The following is a 23,754-nucleotide window of genomic DNA, read 5'->3' on the forward strand; positions in this document are numbered from 1 at the left end:
GGTTTTGATTTGCATTTCTCTGATGGCCAGTGATGATGAGCATTTTTTCATGTGTTCTTTGGCTGCATAAATGTCTTCTTTTGAGAAGTGTCTGTTCATGTCCTTCGCCCAGTTTTTGATGGGGTTGTTTGTTTTTTTCTTGTAAATGTGTTTGAGTTCATTGTAGATTCTGGATATTAGCCCTTTGTCAGATGAGTAGGTTGCGAAAATTTTCTCCCATTTTGTAGGTTGCCTGTTCACTCTGATGGTAGTTTCTTTTGCTGTGCAGAAGCTCTTTAGTTTAATTAGATCCCATTTGTCAATTTTGGCTTTTGTTGCCATTGCTTTTGGTGTTTTGGACATGAAGTCCTTGCCCATGCCTATGTCCTGAATGGTAATGCCTAGGTTTTCTTCTAGGGTTTTTATGGTTTTAGGTCTAACGTTTAAATCTTTAATCCATCTTGAATTGATTTTTGTATAAGGTGTAAGGAAGGGATCCAGTTTCAGCTTTCTACATATGGCTAGCCAATTTTCCCAGCACCATTTATTAATTAAATAGGGAATCCTTTCCCCATTGCTTGTTTTTCTCAGGTTTGTCAAAGATCAGATAGTTGTAGATATGTGGCGTTATTTCTGAGGGCTCTGTTCTGTTCCATTGATCTAGATCTCTGTTTTGGTACCAGTACCATGCTGTTTTGGTTACTGTAGCCTTGTAGTATAGTTTGAAGTCAGGTAGTGTGATGCCTCCAGCTTTGTTCTTTTGGCTTAGGATTGACTTGGCGATGCGGGCTCTTTTTTGGTTCCATATGAACTTTAAAGTAGTTTTTTCCAATTCTGTGAAGAAAGTCATTGGTAGCTTGATGGGGATGGCATTGAATCTGTAAATTACCTTGGGCAGTATGGCCATTTTCACGATATTGATTCTTCCTACCCATGAGCATGGAATGTTCTTCCATTTGTTTGTATCCTCTTTGATTTCATTGAGCAGTGGTTTGTAGTTCTCCTTGAAGAGGTCCTTCACATCCCTTGTAAGTTGGATTCCTAGGTATTTTATTCTCTTTGAAGCAATTGTGAATGGGAGTTCACTCATGATTTGGCTCTCTGTTTGTCTGTTGTTGGTGTATAAGAATGCTTGTGATTTTTGTACATTGATTTTGTATCCTGAGACTTTGCTGAAGTTGCTTATCAGCTTAAGGAGATTTTGGGCTGAGACAATGGGGTTTTCTAGATATACAATCATGTCATCTGCAAACAGGGACAATTTGACTTCCTCTTTTCCTAATTGAATACCCTTTATTTCCTTCTCCTGCCTAATTTCCCTGGCCAGAACTTCCAACACTATGTTGAATAGGAGTGGTGAGAGAGGGCATCCCTGTCTTGTGCCAGTTTTCAAAGGGAATGCTTCCAGTTTTTGCCCATTCAGTATGATATTGGCTGTGGGTTTGTCATAGATAGCTCTTATTATTTTGAAATACGTCCCATCAATACCTAATTTATTGAGAGTTTTTAGCATGAAGGGTTGTTGAATTTTTTCAAAGGCTTTTTCTGCATCTATTGAGATAATCATGTGGTTTTTGTCTTTGGCTCTGTTTATATGCTGGATTACATTTATTGATTTGCGTATATTGAACCAGCCTTGCATCCCAGGGATGAAGCCCACTTGATCATGGTGGATAAGCTTTTTGATGTGCTGCTGGATTCGGTTTGCCGGTATTTTATTGAGGATTTTTGCATCAATGTTCATCAAGGATATTGGTCTAAAATTCTCTTTTTTGGTTGTGTCTCTGCCCGGCTTTGGTATCAGAATGATGCTGGCCTCATAAAATGAGTTAGGGAGGATTCCCTCTTTTTCTATTGATTGGAATAATTTTTTCTCTTTTTTATATTTGTCATTCCAGCAAAAATCATGATGTGGTCCCTCTGCCTCATGGAATTTATATTCTAGTAGGGGAGACAGGTTAATTAAATATATTGCTCTATAGAAATTACCTTGTGACGTTGAGAATGTGTTACAAAAAAACATGATATCTAAGCTGAAATCAGGAGGATCGATAGGAATTAACTAGATGAAAGATGGGAGTAAGAGTAGGAAGAATAATATTTGAGATAGTGGGCATTTCATGTGCAAAAAATTTGCTATAGTTGATGATTACAGTGTATATTCAAGGTATTAAAAGAAAACTCATATATCCTGAGAACAACAAAAGTGCAGGATAGTGACAAAGCAGAGAGGCACAACAGAGAGGCAAGGACTAGACCAGAAGGCTCTGTATTTCAATCTTTATAAACACAATAGGAAGTCTTTGAAAGGTGGAGTGACATGATTGGATGTGCACTTTGTAAAGATAAAGCTGTACCTAATGTGGTGAATGGATTAGAGCTGCCCAGTAGGGTCTGTAGGGCGAGCAGGTAGGAGGAGACTCTCAGTGTTTGGGGAAAAGTTGGTCCAGTATTTTAGACTGTGGTGGGGATGAGAGAGCTAGAGAGATGTGCACAGAACCAAGGGAAATTTAGGAAGCATGCTGCTACAAAATACTCATCATTGATTTGCTCATTAAACTCTTACTTTTCTAGAATGATTCGAGTAAGAAGTCTTCTTGTTAATACAATATTATAGTTAATGGATGCCTATCATTACAATATTTAACAATGGCTAAAGCTTTAGAATGCAGAGCAACATCCTGAAAGCTAAAACTGTGCTAAACATATTTTAGTCCCTTTTAGATTTAGCTTGCAGGGAGGCACCTTAAAGTCAGCAGGGTCACCATGTAATGTTATGGAGGCGGGATGTGTGGGAGCATGTGTTTGAGCTGGGTCTGCTGTGGCATCAGGGCATGTATTAGTTCATTTTCACACTGCTGATAAACATATACCAGAGACTGGGCAATTTACAAAACAAAGAGCTTTAATTGGACTTACAGTTCCACGTGACTGGGGAAGCCTCACAATCATGGCGGGAAGCAAGGAGGAGCAAATCAAATCTTATGTAGGTGGCGGTAGGCAAAGAGAGAGTTTGTGCAGAAAAACTCCCATTTTTAAACGCATTAGATCTTGTGAGATTCATTTACTATCACGATAACAGCCCAGGAAAGACTTGCCCCCATAATTCAATCACCTTCCACTGGGTTCCTCCCATGATGTGTGGGAATTGTGGGAGTTACAATTCAAGATGAGACTTGGGTGGGAACACAGCCAAACCATATTATTCAACCCCTGGCCCCTCCCAGATCTCATGTCCTCACATTTCAAAACCAATTATGCCTTCCCAACAGTCCCCCAAAGTCTTAACTCATTTCAGCATTAACTCAAAAGTCCACAGTCCTACGTCTCATCTGAGACAAGGCAAGTCCCTTCCACCTGTGAGCCTGTAAAATCAAAAGCAAGTTAATTACTTCCTAGATACAATGGGGGTACAGGCATTGAGTAAATACTGCTGTTGCAATGGGAGAAATTGGCCAAAATAAAGGGGCTACAGGCCCAGTGCAAGTCCAGAATCCAGCAGGGCAGTCAAATCTTAAGATTCCAAAATCATCTCCTTCGACTCCATATCTCACATCTGGGTCACACTGATGCAAGAGGTGGGTTCCCATGGTCTTGGGCAGCTCCATCCTTGTGGCTTTGCAGGGTATAGCCTCCCTCACAGCTGCTTTCACAGGCTGACATTGAGTGTCTGTGACTTTTCCAGGCACACAGTGCAAGCTGTTGGTGGATCTACCATTCTGGGATCTGGAAGATGGTGGCCCTCTTCTCACAGCTCCACTAGATGGCACCCCAGTAGGGACTCTGTGTGGGGCCCAGACCACACATTTCCCTCTGTACTGCCCTAGCGGAGGTTCTCCATGAGGGCCTCACCCCTGCAGCAAACTTTTGTCTGGGCATCCAAGCATTTCATCTTCTGAAATCTAGGCGGAGGTTCCCAAACCTCAATTCTTGACTTCTGTGCACCCACAGGCTCAACACCATATGGAAGCTGCCAAGGCTTTGGGCTTCCACCCTCTGAAGCAACAGCCTGAGCTGTACCTTGGACTCTTAGTGGCAGCTGGATCAGCTGGGACACAGGTCACCAAGTCCCTAGACTGTACAAAGCATGGGGACTCTGAGCCTGACCCATGAAACCACTTTTTCCTCCTAGGCCTCCAGGTCTGTGATGGGAAGGGCTACTGCAAAGATCTCTGACATGACCTGGAGACATTTTCACCATTGTCTTGATGTTTAACATTTGGCTACTCATTATGTATGCAAATTTCTGCAGCTGGCTTAAATTTCACCTCAGAAAATGGCATTATCTTTTATATACCATTGTCAGGCTGCAAATTTTCCAAACTTTAATGCTCTGTTTCCCTTTTGAAACTGAATGATTTTAACAGCACTCAGGTCATCTGTTGAATGTTTTGTTGCTTAGAAATTTCTTCTACCAGATACCCTAAATCATCCCTCTCAAGTTCAAAGTTCCGCAAATCTCTAGGGTGGGATCAAAATGCCGCCAGACTCTTTGCTAAAACACAAGAGTCACCTTTGCCCCAGTTCTCAACAAGTTCCTCATCTCCATGAGACCACCTCAGCCTTGACCTTATTGTCCATATCACTATCAACGTTTTTATCAAAGCCATTAAGTAAGTCTCTAGGAAGTTTCAAACTTTCCTACATTTTCCTGTCTTCTTCTGAGCCCTCCAAACTGTTCCAACCTCTGTCTGTTACCCAGTTCCCAAGTTGCTTCCACATATTTGGGTATCTTTTCAGCAGCACCATACTTCTGGTACCAATTTACTGTATTAGTCTGTTTTCACACTACGGATAAACACATACCCAAAACTGGGCCGTTTATAAAAGAAAGAGGTTTAATTGCACTTACAGTTCCATGTGACTGGGGAAGCCTCACAATCAGGGCGGAGGGCAAGAAGGAGGAAATGACATCTTATGTGGATGGCAGCAGGCAAAGAGAGAGCTTGTAAAGAAAAACTCCCATTTTTAAAATCATCAGGTCTTGTGAGACTCATTCACTATCACGAGAACAGCCCAGGAAAAACCTGCACCCATAATTCAATCACCTCCTACCAGGTTCCTCTCACGGTGTGTGAGAATTGTGGGAGTTACAATTCAAGATGAGATTTGGGTGGGGACACAGCCAAACCATATCAGGACATATACATCCAAGGAATGACTTTTGATAGATTTCTTGTCACATTTGTTTATTTCTTCAAAACTTTGGCTCAAGCATGTTAAAAACTCCATTTAATCTTTCAGGATTTTTGGAAATGTATGAAGGGGTATGTGTTTATAAACACATATACATGTGTAATTATATGGGTACTCACATAAATTTGAAGAGTCTATCTATAAAATTTTATATATGCTTTATTTTTATTTTTTATTTGTATGTTTTATATTTTTATTTCTAGCATGTATTTTTATTTTTATGTACACTTATAACTGTATAATTTAATTGCCAAAAATTATGTTAAATGGGTATCAGAAAATTGTTACTATCTGTTTGATTATAAAAATTTTACCTACTTAAATAAGCAAATGACATCATGAATTGAATCAAGGCTGAAACCAAATTTATTATTTTCTAATTATCCACAGGATAATGCTTTGGTCTTTTAATTTTACTAACAGTATTAGTTTTCACACTGCTATATAGAACTTCCTTGAGACTGGGTAATTTATAAAGGGAAGAGGTTTAATTGACTCACAGTTCCATATGGCTGGGGAGGCCTCGGGAAACTTACAATCATGGCAGCATGGGGAGCAGGCACATCTTACATGGTGGCAGGCAAGAGAGAGCATGTGAAGGAGGAACTGCCAAACATTTATAAAAGCATTAAATCTCATGAGAACTCACTCACTATCACAAGAACAGCATGGGGGAACCATCCCCATGATCCAGTCACCTCCCATCAGTTCCCTCCGTTGACATTTGGGGATTATGGGGATTACAATTCAAGATGAGATTTGGGTGGGGACACAAAGCCAAACCATATCACCTACTTAATTTAAGTTACAGAGTAAACATTTTGTTGATTTTTTTCCTGCAAAAATTAAAAGATAAGTGTACCTTCTCTTAACATAGTTGAATTACATGTCTATCTGCTTTTGCTATTTTTGCTGTTTTCCAGGATAAAACAGGCATATCACTGTATTGAAATTTTAAATTTTTTCTGAAGAATACAAGCAGAAAATTTTGTGGTATACAAATTGCTATGCAGCAGAGAATATTCTACTTCCATTCAAAAAAGAGCTGTTACTAACTATACATTAAATGAGTAGAGGATAGTTTAATCTCTTACCCTTATTCAGTGTTAAGTAATTTAGAGAAATGCGTATTATTATTATAGTATTGGTAAACTAAGAAAATTAAGTCAAAGTATGAGGTGAAATATGCCAAATATCAATGAAGTGTCCCTTGCCACTGGAGGCTGAGGTTAGGAGCCTCATGAAAGTTGAGCTGTTACATAATTACATGTATAATACACATATTGAATTGGTGCCAAGGTAAAGAGATGACCCACCAATTCAGTCCCTCACAAGTGAAACATCAGCTTGGCTGAGACATTACAGCTGCAAGGAAATAAATTACTCACTCTTTGGCAGGGCATTTTGTGCCACAGAGAAATAATTTTCTAAAGGGCACCTTGGTAGTATGAAAGGAGGATTTAAGAAGTTTCCAGAGAGAGCCATAAACCCTTGAAGATCCCCAGCCCCATAGCCAGCTGACTGTGTCTGTGTGACAACTGAAAACAGGAGCTGTTTAAAGATTTGGACACAGGCTACTAAGGATGCTCAGAGGTCATCTAGACTAATTTGGTCAAAAATCAGTGGTACCTAGAGTGTGTGGCCACTTCTTCTCAAATATCTGCTGTAACTAGTTCTTGACCAGTTTTTCCCACCAAAACTCCAGAACTGATCAGGTGTAGTGGCTCACGCCTATAATACCAGTGCTTTGGGAGGCCAAGGCAGGAGGGTTTCTTGAGACCAGGAGTTCAAGACCATCATGGGCAACATGGTGATACCCCATCTTTACAAAAATAAAAATAGAAAAATTAGGTGTAGTGGTGTGGCTGTATTCCTAGTTACTCAGGAGGCTGAGGCAAAACGATTGCTTGAGCCCAGAAGTTCAAGGTTACAGTGATTTATAATCATGTTACTGCACTCCAGCCTGGGTGAGAGAGTGAGACCTTGTCTCAGGGGAAAAAAAAGAAAAACAAAAACAAAAAACCTGCCAGAGTATGTTATGCTCATGACCTGATTAAAACACCAGTCATTACTACCCACTCTAATGCCATCTCACATCCCTGAAGTTATCTATATCTGCAAGTCTTCCCTTTAATTGTATTTCTGGATATTTATTATCCGAGGGAAGAAAAAGTCAACTTAGAATATTTATCCAGTTTATTGATGATAATTCTGCTGAAAGTGTCAGTGGCCTTTAGTTGTTGAAGAACTCTAAGAGATGAGGACCCAAGGTTGTCTGTTTCCCCCCACTCTACCTAGATGCTTCAAAGGGACTTTTTAGAGCACCAAGTAAATGACAATATGCATTGCCTCGAATTTTACTGTATAGTAGTATCCAAGGAAACTCTTTCTAGAAATTCTTTAACTTTTGATAACCAGAAAGATATGAGAACATCCCTTTGGCTACTGATTTTACATTTGCCCCCAGAAAGCCATGGATCATAGCCTGAAACAAGCAAAAGGAATGAGTTCTATGTGGGAGCCAAATTTCTAGCCTAAATATCTAAGTGTATCTTTTTCCCCCGAATAGTTAAATAGCTCTAACAAGACCAAGGTTAAACACAACCCCATATAGTCTACAGTAAATATAATGCCAATACTTAGAAATAGGTGTATTATTATTTTTCAAACATGCTACTTGATTGTGTTCTCTGGTAGATGAAAGGATTAGATATCAAAAGTTAAATTCACTACTTGAGATTTTTCAGAATGTTTCTCACTCCAAGTTTTGAAAACCTTCTTGGCTGCTTATTCACCATCTTCCTTCACTATATTTGCTGAGCCAGCCTTGGCCCGTAGGAGTCTTTCTCTAGGAGTATTAGACAAGTTGGCATTTGATAAATTTTCTGTCCTAACAACCCCCGTAGGCCCACTTTCAGCACTTGTGTGTTACTTGCAACACCCTTTCTCCATTACAATTAAAATGTTATTTATTTTAAATGAGGAAATTGCAAATTTTACTGAGAATTAAAACATTTTCAATTCACAATTACAGTTTTTTTTTTTTAAAGCTAAGCATATATCTCTGATTAGTGAAAGATGGAAGTGAAATGAAGGCAGGACTAAGGATGGGATGAAAGTTTTGGGAGCTGATTAGGAATCTGCTCATTTAACAAGCATGAAGGTTTTTTTCCTTATTGTTCTAGCATGGAATGGATTCTTAAAGAATCAAGGCAGTTATCAAGCTGAAGAAACTTAATTCTAAGGAATTTTGGCTTGGATTCTCCAGAGTGGTAGTTTTCCAGGCTAAAATGCACCAAAAAAGGTCTATCATGAGCTCCCTTTTGTGATACATGAAGGTTTCTTGAAACTGGCACTAGCTTTTCAGGATGATGTAAAAGCTTTAACTCTGCATTCAGTCTTTTGGGCCATTTTATTTCTACCTTTTATGGGCAATGTTAAATAAAGCTTCAAGTACTATGAAGAATAAAACCTGATTGTCCTGGTCCCAGTCACATCTTAATGCTCTTTCCAGAAAGCTAGAACAGCATATTCTTCCTAGGTGGTATGAAGATTAGCAAAGGGAAAAAAATGATAGAAAGAGGCCAGGTGCGGTGGCTCACGCATGTAATCCCAGCACTTTGGGAGGCTGAGGTGAGCAGATCACGAGCTCAGGAGTTTGAGACCAGCCTGGCAAATATGGTGAAGCCCCGCCTCTATTAAAAATACAAAAATTAGCCAGGGGTGGTGGCATGCGCCTGTAATCCCAGCTACTCAGCAGATTGAGGCAGGAGAATTGCTTGAACCCAGGGGGCAGAGGTTGCAGTGAGCCAAGATCGCACCATTGCACTCCAGCCTGGGCGACAGAGCCAGATTCCATCTCGAAACAAAAGAAAGAAGCAGAAATTGGAATGAGAAATCAAACAGATTTTCTTGGTTGTCAACACAGAACTCTATTAAAGTTTGTGATTTTAGTCCTGCTTCTGACACCGAGATCTATAAGTAGATGGAGGAAAAACAAAAACAAAAACAAAAAACCCTCAACCTCAGAATTTAAGAGGTAATAGCCATGTTTTCTCACAGTAGCCTCCAGGTGCCCTTGGCTCTCTGGCTTCATTTCTACTGCTCCTTCCTGAAGTGTTCAGAATTTCTTTCCATATTGCTTGTGTGCACTGTTACAGATCCAGATGCCTGCCACACTGCCCACTACTGAACTGTGAAAGGGCTATTTTGTCCTGGAGGAATTTTGGTATAATATTTATTGCCAGACTAACTTAAATTCATGGGAAAAGGGCTAGTGACTACAAATAGTAAAATAACCTGTTATGAGAATCCTATTCTTATTTAAAATAGAAATGAATCTCAAGATTATAGGATTCACCATATATATATTATAAATACAATACCTTAAAATTTAAAATATATTCATTCCTAAGAATTCTAATTTGTTACGCTTATTATGTAATTTTGTTCCATAGCGTCACAATTCATAGTGGAAGGTAGAACATTTAAATGACTTCTCCTCTCCAGTGTTTCCAAAAATTATTGAGTGCCTGTATATTTACAGACCACAATGGTTACTTAAAAATAGGCAATGTCATTTAATGTTATATAATTATGATATAGGGCAGCACTATACAATCTAAAAAATTGTTTTATTAAGTCAGTCTTATCTTTAACTTTATCCTCTCTGGCTGTGCTTAGCATTTGATTCTCAGAATAATTCACATTTTACTACCCCAACAAGGCTAAGAAACTGAATCTGTGACCTCGTTCTTTTCTGATGTCCTCAAAACACCAGACACAACCTCTGAATGTTTTTTCCAGGATATATAGCATACAGAAAGACTACTAAGGTTACAAAAGAATAATAGAGTATTAAGGGAAGCAACATTCAGCAATTTTTCTTTCTACCCAGAACTAAAAATCATTTGCTAAATGTGAGGCCCTCTAACGAATAATACCTGGGTTAATGCTTAGGAACAAAAGACCTTCGTTGAAGTTTATATTCCCCTCCAGCTCTAAAATGTGACTCTGTTAAACAATTGTTTAAGAATACACAGTTACTTATATTTCTAGCTGTGTGACAAAAATACCTCCAAGAACAAATTCTGGAAATTCTGACCCCGTTAAGGGAACATAGAGTAAGCTGAGACAATGTGGACTTCCTTCTCTGGAGCTGCAGCCTCCGTCATCTGTAGCCTCTATTTACCTTACCTCAGGCTTCCTTCAGTCCACTCTACTCTGTAACTGCCACCCTCTCTTCAAAACTTAAAAGAATCTAGTAACCAATTCGAATTATTTATACACTTTTGCTTATTCAAAGTGCTGGTGGTACAAAGTGTATTTGCTTATTGAAAGGATTGACTGTATTGGCAACCTGATTAGGGAATGTGGTAGGTATGGAAAGGCTTTAAAAAGCAATGAGATTTAGTCATGTAGAGTGTGAGGATGAAATCCTAACCGAATGATATCTATTCCGTACTTCCTGGGAAGGAGGATCAGCCTGCAAAGCCTGCTCTGAGGGATTCTGAGTATAGAAGAAAATCTTTCCTTACTCTGAGATTTGTAATGCCCTGACACAGGCCAGGACAGTGTGCAGCCAGTGCCCTCTCCAACTCTTCCTCCCCAACCTGGAGCACAGGGACCTTCACGAGGTGCTTGTTTGCTTTCTAAATAATTGAAATTGATTGATATTTATTAATGCTTTTCTTTTGTTAAATTAGAACTTCCCAGCCAGTCACGATGGCTCATGCCTGTAATCCCAGTGCTTTGGGAGGCTGAGGCAGGAGAATCGTTTGAGGCCAGGAGTTCTAGACCAGCTTGGGCAACATAGTGAGACCCCCACTTCTACAAAACATTAGTTAGATGTGGTGGCACATGCCTATTGTCCAGGCAACATAAGAAGCTGAGGCAGGAGGATTGCTTGAGCCCAGGAGTTCAAGGCTACAGTGAGCTACAGTTGCACCACTGTACTTCATCCAGCCTGGGCAACAGAGCAAGAATCTGTCTCTTAAAAAAGAAAAAACTTCTCTACCCTATCTGATATAACATTTCAAAGAAATAGATCATTAGGATTTATTTCCTTTACAAATTACTTCATTACCAATAAAGTATTAGTAATAAATTATATAATAAATAAAATCATATTTTATTTATATAAATATATAACCATATATTAATATCAAATAACATAATAGTAATAATAAATATAATGCACTATTACTTAGGTCATTGCATGCCTTATTCATACCTCTCAGAGATCAACATATTTAAATTTCCCAGAATTTTTTTTTCTTTTTTGAGACGGAGTCTCGCACTGTCACCCAGGATGGAGTGGAATGGCACGATCTCGGCTCACTGCAACCTCCGCCTCCCGAGTTCAAGCAATTCTCCTGCTGCAGCCTCCTGAGTAGCTAGGATTACAGGTGCCAACCACCACATCCGGCTAATTTTTTGTGTTTTTAGTAGAGATGGGGTTTCACTATGTTGGCCAGGCTGGTCAGCTCCTGACCTCATGATCCACCTGCCTTGGCCTCCCAAAGTGTTGGGATTGCAGGTGTAAGCCACCGCGTCCGGCCCTGAAGAACTTTTTATGGGCTGGTCATCTACTTGAAATCAATGACCAAATATAGTCAGTACTTTCATAGTGGCATTTTTCTGCAAGTCAAAATATGTAATGATTCTTCAGTAATTTAAATAGGAATTTATAGACAGCACCTATTAAGTATCAGGGCTTGTGCTCAGTTGCTAATCACCAAACAACAAGCTAAACCTAGAGGAGAATCAGCCTAGTCATTTTACTGTGATCAGGACCCATCATGTAGAAATTAAGCTCCTTTTCTATAATAACATTTGCTAATAATGTAATTTATTCTGAAAACTAAGGGCCGCTTTGAATCTTCGTATTAAAAAATAAAACATGTAAGCATAACCTTAGACTTATTTTGCAAATTTATGCAAACAGTACTCTAAAGAGAGTACTGTTAAGACTTTTTCCCACTTTTTCCATTGTACAAGCTGCAATGTAGTTTTCTTGATGAATACTCCATATTCAAAAGGAACATATAAGTTTTAATGATCCCTTAAAAGGACTGTCATAAGTTTTACATTTATGCCATTCCATACTAGACCCTTTGTTCCATGAATACAAGGATTGCCTACCTGGTTCACCATTGAATCTCCAACTCCTAAAACACAGTGCCTCCTGCTTAGCAGCGCTTAATAAATTGTCACTGAATCAATTACCCTTCCTGGAAACTTCCCTCACTTCCCTACTGAACTTAAGGTTCAGTTCAAGCGCTAGATCCCCTAAAAAGCCCTCCCTTATGTAGATATACTGCTTAATGTTTTACTGGGACACAACCTCAGCAACTTATTTGCATGCTTTTCAGAAACTTTTTCCTTAAATATGTTTTCTTTTCATTCCTATTACCTCTTAATTTGACCGCTCAGTCCTATTTTTAACCTCCACGTCTCCAAACACATTTAACACATTAGAGTATACATGTAAGCATTCAATTAACTCATGTAGACTACATGATTGATTGATCTTGGTTACCATTCATTCCATCAATAAACATTCATTAAGTTCCTGCATATTTCTTGAAACAGCCAGCACAGCATTGAATACACAAATATCCCTGTTCTCTTGGAGCTTATTATCTGCTAGTAAGAGACGATCAAGCAAAGGAATAAATGAATAAATGAGGAATACAAGAATGTTAGATACTGAGGAGTGCTGTGAAAAAAAGATGTGAAAGGGAGTGACTAAAGGTTAAAATTAAAAATAAAATAAAATAACGGTTGCTGAGGGCCTCTCTGAGGAGTTAACAGTTGGTCTGAGACCAGAATGACAGGTAGGAACGTGTTATGGAAAGATTTGGGAGAAGAGCGTTCAGCATGGTATTGGGCTGGAATGAGCTGGACACATTGAGAATTAAAGGGATGTGTGTGTGTTTGAGGGTCATGATCGCAAGGACTTCTGTTCAGGACATCTGGGATGTGAGATGCTGCCAAGGGGAGATACAGCCCAGTGAAGATGTCCTTTGAGCAATATGTGTTGGAATCCTGGTGGGGGGTAGGGGAGAGAAAGGGGCAGAACCAAATATAAAAATCAGTATGTGGTGCTTATATTTTAGAAGTGTTGGTACCCAAAGTGGCAATGTAACCATAGAAGAGATGGAAACCCGGGACCAAGTCATGGACATGTAAACCTTTTTAGAGTAAAGCAGAAGAATCTACTAAAGAGACCAAGAAGGAATCCCCAGCAAATTAGGAAGAAAACTGGGAGAAAATGACCTTGAGAATGAAGGGCTGTTTGATTGTGTTGAGTGCTGCCGAGACGTCTAGTAAAGTGGTCATGGGAAACTTAGCAATATTGGAGTTGCCATCATTCTTACAAGAGTGGTCATAGTAGGGTCATGGATGTGGATAGCAATCTGCTTGGACTGGGTGGAGAAGATAAGGTGTGAGAAAAAGGGGAGGCAGCAAAAGTTAACCATTTCAAGAAGTTTTATTGGGAAAAGGAATAAAGAGATTGAAGCTGGAAGAAAATTGGAGGTTAAGGGAGGAATTTTTTGTTTGTTCTTAAAAAAAGTGTTTTAACAGTATGCTTGTAAGTTAATGGACATAACCAAGTATAGAGGAATCAAGAGAAAGATCGATGATGCCTCAAGGAGAGGTTTAAAATGCGGAAGCAAATGCCCTGAAAAGTTAAAAGGGATTGGCTTCTAAGATACAAATGACACAGATTTTGATAAGCACAAGGAGTGACTATAAATATGAAGACTGTTTCTCATTATGGAAATATTTCTGTGTTAAAATCTTGAAAAGCTAAAGTAGGCCAGGTGGAGCCGCATGATTTTGCTGATTTGGTGCCACGTTTCACCTGCAAAAAGACCACTTTTCTATGGCCCAAGCTAATATACTATGAATATAACTATAATATACATATGTAAAATAGCTCAGAATACACAAATTGAAACAGATGATGAGCTTATGTGTGTTTTCCATTTTCTCTTTTGTTAAAATATGTATGGAAAGTTTTAACATAATTTTAGGACAAATATATGGGAAATACTAAATACTTCTAGAATTGAATGTTGCTTATTTCAGCTTGGCTTTTAGGTTAAGTCATAATGAATGCTGAACAGAACAGGCAAAGACAGAATCAGATCCCTGTGGTTATTCTAGTTTTATCAGAGCCTTTGTGTTCTCTTCTAAAGGATTAAAGTGTCTGCTACATACTGCAAGATTCATTTCCTTAAGATCTTTGTTTCTTAGTGCCTTTGATGTAAAAAATTTAAAATTAAAATGAATCCATGTATTTTATAAGATTTCTCTTTAAAGATGTGTCAGTTGGCTTAAATATTTATATTTTCTTTTGTCACAGGCTTATTTATATTCATCTTCCACTGTGCTATGAAGGAGAATGTTCAGAAACAGTGGCGGCAGCATCTCTGCTGTGGTAGATTTCGGTTAGCAGATAACTCAGGTAAAGAGTTGTTGATTAAATTTTACATCTACAAGTAGATGGGAAAGTTTGTCATTCAGTCTTTCATTGTCAGAGCAACCCAGTCCCAGTGGTAGCAAGCTATTGAAGTGGAGCATGTGAAGATGCGTAGTTGGAATCATAGAATATCAGGGCTGGAAGAGATCAGAGAACTTTGAGCCCAACCCTTCTATTCTGCAGAGGAGAAGCATGAATTCCATACAAGTTAAATGAGTTGCCTGAGGTTTGATGTCTAATTTAATAACCCGTATACCCAGAGGTTCCACTATACCAGACTCACCTTTCCACATTTTCTAGATCCGCAATTACATTATTAAGCAAAGAGATTTTTCTCAGTATTAAAAAAAAAAAAAAAACTGAAAAAACCTACTTTGTCTTTTTTCTTTTCTTTATCTTTCTTTGTTTTTCTTTTTACTGTCAGTGGTTACTTCTCATCTTTGGGATATTGAAAGTGAGATTTTAAATAGTACGTATACAAGGTCAAAGTAAGAAATTATCAATATCCTCTTATTGTTTACATGTCAGTCTCTTCTCTGAGCCATTGCCAGCATATCAGAAAATCAGATGCTCCAGATAAATAATGCAGTGATGATTTTTTCAGAGCAGTTCATATTCCCGGTAAAGCAGATTGATAGGGTGATGTCATTTTTTTTTTCAGATTGGAGTAAGACAGCTACCAATATCATCAAGAAAAGTTCTGATAATCTAGGAAAATCTTTGTCTTCAAGCTCCATTGGTTCCAACTCAACCTATCTTACATCCAAATCTAAATCCAGCTCTACCACCTATTTCAAAAGGAATAGCCACACAGGTGAGTCTAAAGATGTCCTCAAGTTTAGTTCTCATCACATTTTCATTGCAAAAATTGGCATATCATGAAGATTGATAAATCACAGTGCCTAAGAGGGTGCATCTTTTAGATTTATGAAAATAAAAATCCGTTTGAAGACGTTATCCAACACCTTTATGAATATTTTGTCCTTTTAAAAATTTTGTAACCCAAACTCTAGCTATATAACCATAATAATTCACTCTGTATATTATTGTTACTTCATCATTTGATTCAAAAACTTGGTTATCTTTAACAATTATGGTATTTTGTTTAAAAAGTTATATATTTTTAAAATTAAAAATTGAATTACAGATTATTTCAGCATAGTATGATAATTACTGGACAAGTTGTCTTGGGAACAGGAAGAAACAATATCTAGGATGTACATTTTATTTAAGACTTAATTCCTTAACCATTGCAAATGTTATTGATGACTGCCCTTTAAATCACTGATTATATATGAAAGAACATAATATTTAGAAAGTGACACAGGGCTATAAGAAACACTGTCTTTCATAATATCCTGTTTTTTCATGATATTTACAATTGCTGCACATTCTGACACTGAACATGTATGTGAAAAATCCTGACGACACCATGGAAATAAAGAATATTTTAAGCCAGGTGCTATGACACATGCCTGGAGTCCCAGCTGCTCTGGAGGCTGAGATGGTGGGATTGCTTGTGCCCTGGAGTTCAGGCTGCAGTGAGAAATGATTGAGCAACTGTACCACAGCCTGGGCAACATAGCAAGACCCCATCTCAAAAAAATAGTAATATTTTGCAGCACTTGATAGTGAATGATGTGAAAATGTGTAACTTTTTCATGTTTTCAAAGGGAAATAATAGAATTGCTACTTTTAAATTAAACCCCTGGCAGACAGCTGTCAACATTTAAAACAGAGCACTTTCCTAATTAAAGATAATTCTAAAAGGATAATGGAAATAACTTTTAAATTTTTAATTTGTTTAGCTATTAAACATGAGCAGAGGTGAATGGCACAAAGAAGATTAATACTTGGCTTTTTGCAAATAGGGAGTAAGGTGTGTGATGTGTCTGTAATTATTCATATTGCAAATACTTGAATTACAGATAACCCTGGTGTACATTTGAATCCATATACATGCCCTGTTTGCACCGTTTTCTATGTCTTGCCACTGGGGTGGCCACTGCCTGGGATTCATGATAGTGCTATGGAAAAAGTTTTGAGTGTTTAGACAGTTCTTTAATTCCAAAATTAATTAAAAATCCAAGAACTTGGAGCAACTTAGAACAGCAGTTCTTAAAGCTTCTTGAAGTCTAGGACATTTTGGGGGGAATTGAATGAAGGCTGTTGATTCTCTTCCAGAAAAAAAAGGTACAGACTTTGAATCATTTTCACAATTTTGCATAAAATTAGAGAAGTCTGTGCACCTCTGCTTAAGAATACCTGTGTAAATAAATTGATAACAGGGGTATAGCCTAAGATAGATTATTCTACTTATTTGGTGGTTCCGTGGCACAAAATATTTTTGCTTATAATGAATTATTTTTTTCACTTTATTTAACCAAACTTAAAATTTGATACTCATTTTGCCTCCCCTTCTAAAATACAAATACTTAATGCCTTATCAGTTATTAATGAATAGGAATTAAACCAAATGAATTGCTTTCCTCTTAAACAGCTGAAAATAGCTGGCCTGAAGAAATGCCACTCTTAAAAGAGGAAAGAAGATAACAAGGCAGTTAATTTGGAACATGAGGCATTTTGGAAATATTAAGGATAGAAAGGGCTATAGGATTCGGGGGAAAACGGACTAGAAGATAAAAGAGGAAATGCAGAGATGGAGGTCCAAAGGCAGACTTTACTATTTTAAAATATTGTCTGTTCTTCATTTTGTTTTATTTCATCTATTATTTTATTTTATTTATTTATTTATTTTGACACAGGGTCTCGCTCTGTTTACCAGGCTGGAGTGCAAGGGCACACTCACGGTAGAGGCTTACTGCAGCCTCTACCTCCTGGGTTCAAGCAATCCTCCTACCTCAGCCTCCCGAGTAGCTGGGACTACAGGTGTGCACCACCACACTTGTCTAATTTTTGTATTTTTGTAGAGATGAGGTCTCATCATCTTACCCAGGCTAGTCTCAAACTCCTGGGCTCAAGGAATTTTCCTGCCTCAGCCTCCCAGAGTCCTGGGATTACAGACGTGAGCCACCACACTTAGCCTTTTGTTTTGTTTTTTAAAGAATGCATTAATGTTCTTGTTTCCCTTAACAAAAAACCCTTGGGGCTAAATGGGTTCTTGTCAACTAGGATGAGAATATAGTTAGTTATATGGCATTACTTCAATGTTATAATAAATCCTGGTTTACAGTCAACTGACTTCACATAGGCTTTGGCTACCCAGACAGTTCTCAGTGGAACAGTTAGCATCCTGGGATCACTCAAGGTATGCAAAACGTCACTGCATATCATCATGGATATCTAGCTGGTTCATTTCTTGGAATTGATCTAGATATTCATATGTTTATGGTATAGATAATGTCTCCTATGAGCATTCCTTCAACAAAAGTGGATCACTCAGGTAAACTTTCGTTACTTTTTTGAATGCATGAATTTTTTGCAAGGTAATAAGAGAATATGTGCATGGATTAAGCTAAGATTCTTGCTGCATCGGCAAAATGGCTTGTTCTTTTCAGCTAGCACAATGACATTCCTGCATTGAGCTGGAATTTCTGAAGTTTTGAATGATAGTGTGTGCTGTGCTGGCTCTTCTCTGCATGGGGTATCTGCAAGCGGCTCCTTCTAGGAAATGTACCATGGTCTGGAGTGAGTGGAGCACATATTATGTAAAATAATGACAGAAAGCAGTACTTGAGAAAAGATTTGTTGTAGAAGGACATGAAATGCTTTATTTTTCCACTGCTCATGTGGATTTCTGGGTATGTCATGGTACATTCATAGAAGTCATGTAAGTGAAATTGTGAATTCCAAGCCTGCTTTGTGAGAATTGTTATCTGCTTGAAATTTCAGCATAGGTCAAATAATAGTTCATATCCCTAGCCCCTGGTTTTCAGACTTGCAACTATAATCAAAGTCTTTATTACCCATAATGTAATATCTAACCAGAAGACTGGGAATAGCATATATAAAAATACAGCCCTCATTCAGAATTTTGCTTTGTTAAACTGCAAAGACCCACTAAATTGGATCACATTGTTGAAATGAAGCTTTTCAAAATCTCTAAAAGTACATGCCACTGGAAGTTACAAAGGAAACAGAGTGACTATATCCTTGATATCTCTCTGAGGATATGTGGTTTTCTAAAAACACCAAGCACTAATTATTCATTATTAATATATAAGTCAATAGAAAAATCCCCACCAGAAAACCAATGGCTAGTGAATATATGAACTGAAAGGAAGCTCAGAATCAATCAGCTTGCTGAGAGCCTAATGGGGAGGGGCCTTTTGTCATGACTCCTTGAGCCTTTTCCTTGCCGACATTGGAAAATGCTTCAGTTGTTCCACCATGCTTCAGTTTGCTCGTTCTCTCCATGAACCATCTATTCTTCTCTCTAGCATCCTTTAGTGTGGGTTGAGTATCCCATTTCCCTTTTTAGCCCTCATTGTATTTAGTGTCGGCTTCAACACAAGATAATAGTTGAGCAATTTGAATAGTTTCCAAAGACAACAGATATCATGATGATGATGGCTTTTACCAATTATTGATGGATTTTAAATGTTTTGTCACATACTGAGTCCAGCATACTCAAAATGTAAAAAGCATTGGAGTGAAGATTCCAATTTTAGAGCCATGATTTCTAAAAATTTTTCAGGATAGAGTTTTTGCCTCTTCCACAATGTATGGAGAAGGTACATAGGAAACTGAATACTTTATAAAAGTTCATATCTTCTTTATCAGTGTAAAATTTCTATAATTTGGTTAATTTGAGGGTAGAATTTTTTCCTAAAGTGTATTTGGAGAGGGAAGTGCTTAAAAGATATTTGTAGGATACATGAAGACAACCATACGTCTTTATAGATAATAGAGCATAAGTGGGTTTCAGAACACTATCTGAGCCAATTTTAGAAAGCTTTTGTGTATAGGGAAATAACATTTAAATATATGATACTGAAAATTTTAGAAAAAATTATTTAGCAGTCCTTTATTACTATCAGTTGCTATAATATTAGTGCTGTTAGCAATAACATCATTCAGAAACTACAAGATAATTAATATAAATAAATCATTTTCTATTAAAATATTTCTGGTAATAACTTTGATTGCTACAATTAAAAAAATAATTCACAAGAAGTACCCTTTTTGCTATTTTCCAGTTGTTTATCCAGCTAAAAACCTTGGGAAAATACGTTCAAAGTAGCATTTCATATTTATTTTCATTTGCTTGTATTCTCCAAAATCCTTTAAATTTAATTTTATAAAATTTTTTGTTATGAAAAGTGTCAAACCTATATAAAAAATAGAGAGGATACTATTATAAAGCCCCTTGTAACCATCAATTTATAGCCAGTTATACACCCCTACCCATTTTTCCCTTCCTATATTATTTGAAAACATATCTTAGATATAATTTCTTCCACAAATATTTCAGCACATTCTAATTCCTTATAATTTTGTACATCTTTCAAGCCATAGTGCATGTTTTTTTGAAGTGGTTTTCCAATTATTTTTTCATTGGCTCTGCTACATTCAAGAATATTTCGTATGGTAAGCCACAGTACAAATTACTAGAAGGGAAGTTGACACTCAGTGACTATCAGGAGTATACTTAGAAGAAGAAAAACATGGAAGTTTAGTGTTGCCTATTACCTAATATAAGAAAGAATCGGAGCTTTATTTTCTTTTGTTCTTCTTTAATGTGCAAAACGGAGTATACAATATGGTGGCCTGTAGGCATGCCACCAGCTCATCTTGAACCTAATTTCTTGTATCATTTCTTGCAGACAGTGCTTCCATGGACAAGTCCTTGTCAAAACTGGCCCATGCTGATGGAGATCAAACATCAATCATCCCTGTCCATCAGGTCATTGATAAGGTCAAGGGTTATTGCAATGCTCATTCAGACAACTTCTATAAAAATATTATCATGTCAGACACCTTCAGCCACAGCACAAAGTTTTAATGTCTTTAAGAAAAAGAAATCAATCTGCAGAAATGTGAAGATTTGCAAGCAGTGTAAACTGCAACTAGTGATGTAAATGTGCTATTACCTAGGTAACTGCATATATATAAGGAATGTATTTTGTTAAGAAGGCTTTTGTGAAATTCAGAATTTTTCTTTTTAATATATTTCTTCCATGGAAGAGTTGTCATCACTAAAACTTCAGTACTGAGAGTAACATGACTCAGTAGCCACAGAAGCTATGATTTGTAAAATATATAATTGAATCAGAGTAATCATAATGCAGGGGAGACATTCAAATTAGAGACAAGGGAGAAGCAATGCTGAGGAAGACCCTAGATAGAGCTCATTTTACTCCACCTAATCGTTATATCTGGATATACCCATTTTCTGCATCTTCTTTCTCAACAATAAAAAATGTAACTATTTTGAATGCCCACAAATCCCATTCCAGTGTTACTTTCTGTGAATGCAGTACCATATTCTCATTTTCAATGACATTTCAACCACAGGCAGAAAAGACTGTTTACTCCTTGACCCAAAGATTAAAAAGGATTTTTTATTATTTTAAATATTACACCTTCAGAACCATAACATGCTTAAGAAAACTTTCCCAAAATGTTGACCTAGTTAAATGAGGCTATATAAATTTCTAATATTTTACTTATTCTATTCAAGGCATAGGGCCAAAGCATTAAGTATAATTTAATCCCATACATTCGAGTTAAGTTTAGTGTTGATGTTCCATCATTCTGGACCTCCCAGGAGTTGTTTAAGAATGAATCTCTTACACCTCTACTTTTGCCCCTCTACTGTATATTAAGCCCATAGGCTTGTGGGAGGAAGGAGAATTTCCATTAGGCAAGCTGTATGCAGTGGAATTTTCCTTTTAGGAGACACACAATTAAGACTCTCTGGTTCTGTCCTTGCTTTGGAGACTTTAAGACATTTCCTAAAGCACAAATAAAAGCCTCGTATTTCCCCATTGAGAGTTTTGTTCCAAGGAATATGAAGTGAGACATATGGGTGAGTCATAATAATCAAAATAATTTATGAAGAGCTGGGTCTGCAATAGCTAGTCTAAAAACTACTTGTGTGTCAGTCCTCTGGTTATAGTATATAAGAGCCTGAGGAGGTCTGGCAAGATAGATGGTGTATTATTTATGGATCAGGCTGCTGCATACAAACCTTGCATACTATTATGCAGCTTACCTAACTCTCAGACTATTCTGAGTAATGCTTGCTTGCTAATGAATGTATAGGAGACCACATTGTAATTGTTCTTAGATGATGGAGTCCATGCAGTTTCTTAGAAATCGGTCTCAGTGCATGCTGTGCTTTTTCACATTTGCTCTGGGTTATCTGGGAAGTATCAGGTTCTGGGAGGCAACAGCATTAAGTGATAAGAAAAGGAGACATTCTGGCAAAGCCAATCTGCTTAAAGGCAAAGTCCAGAACCTGGAACCTAGAGGCCTTTCTCTCTGCACGAAAAACAGGTAGTTTGCAGTCTGAGATATGGGAGAGCTTTTAGGCTACACAGCAACCCAAGGGACCTCTCACCTTTTGCTGAGCTTCAATCAGGAAGCTATTTGCCTGGCTCCAGCAGATGATGAGATAATGAGGTAGTGGGTTTTTTATTACTGTTCCATTTTGCAACATCCTGCAACACCATCCTGGGAGACAAGAGCATTACCCAGCTTGGCTTTCACGGGGGAGGGTTGTATTCAGTAAAAAAGAATAGTAAATATAAGGTCACTGAGATTCTAAGTAAGATAGTAAATCTAAGGTCACTGAGCCAAATCCTTTTCAATAGGCATATATTAACAGGCTGCTTATTTTGGCGGAGGTTACATATGGATGAAAATGAATCTTAGTCACTGAATATTCATATACATTTCCCCCAAAACCTTAGACATTCATAGTAGATTTTAATTAGTTAGCTTTCTAACTAGTCAGATTTCTGCCCAAAGTGCTTAGTCAATAGTAATTAAGATATAGCTTCAAAAATGGCTTTGCTTTTGATTTCTACTCATATTCGTATGGCTCCAGAAAAATATTTTTTTCATATTTGACAATGTCAGCTCCACTTTAGAAATTTTCAATAACCAGATGAGAAAAAAATTAAGAAATTGCTCAAGGGAAACATTTGTAAATGGATTTGAAAGATTGAGCCAAATTCTGTTGTCAGTTCTAAGCATGCAGTTCTCACCTCCATTTAGTCCCCCATCAGAACAGAGGTCAGGAATTTAGCTGGGGAGCCTAAATTTAGTTCAGCTTACCTTTGAGAATAGCATCAATTCAGACTCTCTTTTCATTATGTTTTCTTTTCTTTTTCCCTCTTTTTAAACTACATTGTGTTAGAGTCATAGTCTAGGATCCTGAGAGATTTTCCATTCTTGTCACCATTCACTTGCATTGTAAAGATTTTCTTTGTCTGTTGTTGGCATAGATTCTTTTGTACATATTTATTTATTTGTGTTTATATATGTCAATTGGTTTCCTTTCTTAGCTTGATATTGCCTAGCTTTGTTGTTTTAATTAACTTTCTATTAGAGAGACTGTATATATTTTTTCTAAATACTTTGTGAAATCATTTTTGGTAGCAATATCTTTGAATATGATGAATAAAAGTGACTGTGAGTGCAAATAGAATTAGCAGTAAGAAGCTACTCTAGCTAATTTGCCATTTTACTTAAATGGAAAATGTTTTTCAAATAAATACTTATGTTGTTCATGTTCCAAGTTATTCAATTCCTTTATGAGTGAATGTTTTTACTTTTGACTCCTAAATAGGAAAAGATTATTTGACAGCTGGAAAATAACCTGCCACCAATTAAGCGAGTGACATAGGGCTACTTTGCCAAAACACTCAGAATGAGTATGTTACACAGATCCAGTTCACTAAGGATTAATGCATTTTGAAGTTCTTAGAATTTGTTGGGATGACTGATGCAAAGCCAAGTTCTACAGCAGATTAAAAATAATACAGGTTTCTTTCGGGGAATGTCTTCAGTATCCTCAAAAGGGAACTGATTCAGTAACCTGTAGAAGATAGGACCTAGGATATTTTTCTCACATTTATAGTTGCTATTTTCATTGTGAGAGGCTTAGCAAATGATACATT

At 37.4% G+C, this 23,754-nt stretch overlaps 1 protein-coding gene across 15 annotated transcripts in view; it reads left to right on the forward strand.

Moving 5' to 3' along the window:
- ADGRG6 (adhesion G protein-coupled receptor G6) overlaps nucleotides 1-23,376 on the forward strand; it is a 144,255-nt gene extending 120,879 nt beyond the window's left edge. For 8 of the 15 annotated variants that reach the window (XM_006715516.3, XM_006715518.3, NM_198569.3 and 5 more), the window contains 3 exons: nucleotides 14,549-14,650; nucleotides 15,327-15,479; nucleotides 20,452-23,376. In XM_006715516.3, coding sequence (XP_006715579.1) covers nucleotides 14,549-14,650; nucleotides 15,327-15,479; nucleotides 20,452-20,630 — 434 coding nt within the window. In that variant the 3' untranslated portion in view covers nucleotides 20,631-23,376. Of the gene's footprint in view, nucleotides 1-14,548; nucleotides 14,651-15,326; nucleotides 15,480-18,022; nucleotides 18,069-20,451 lie in introns of all 15 variants that reach the window. The other 7 variants (XM_005267061.4, XM_047419106.1, NM_020455.6 and 4 more) reach the window with 1 other exon arrangement.

This window comes from Homo sapiens, chromosome 6 (genome assembly GCF_000001405.40).
Source record: "Homo sapiens chromosome 6, GRCh38.p14 Primary Assembly".
NCBI lineage: Eukaryota > Metazoa > Chordata > Mammalia > Primates > Hominidae > Homo > Homo sapiens.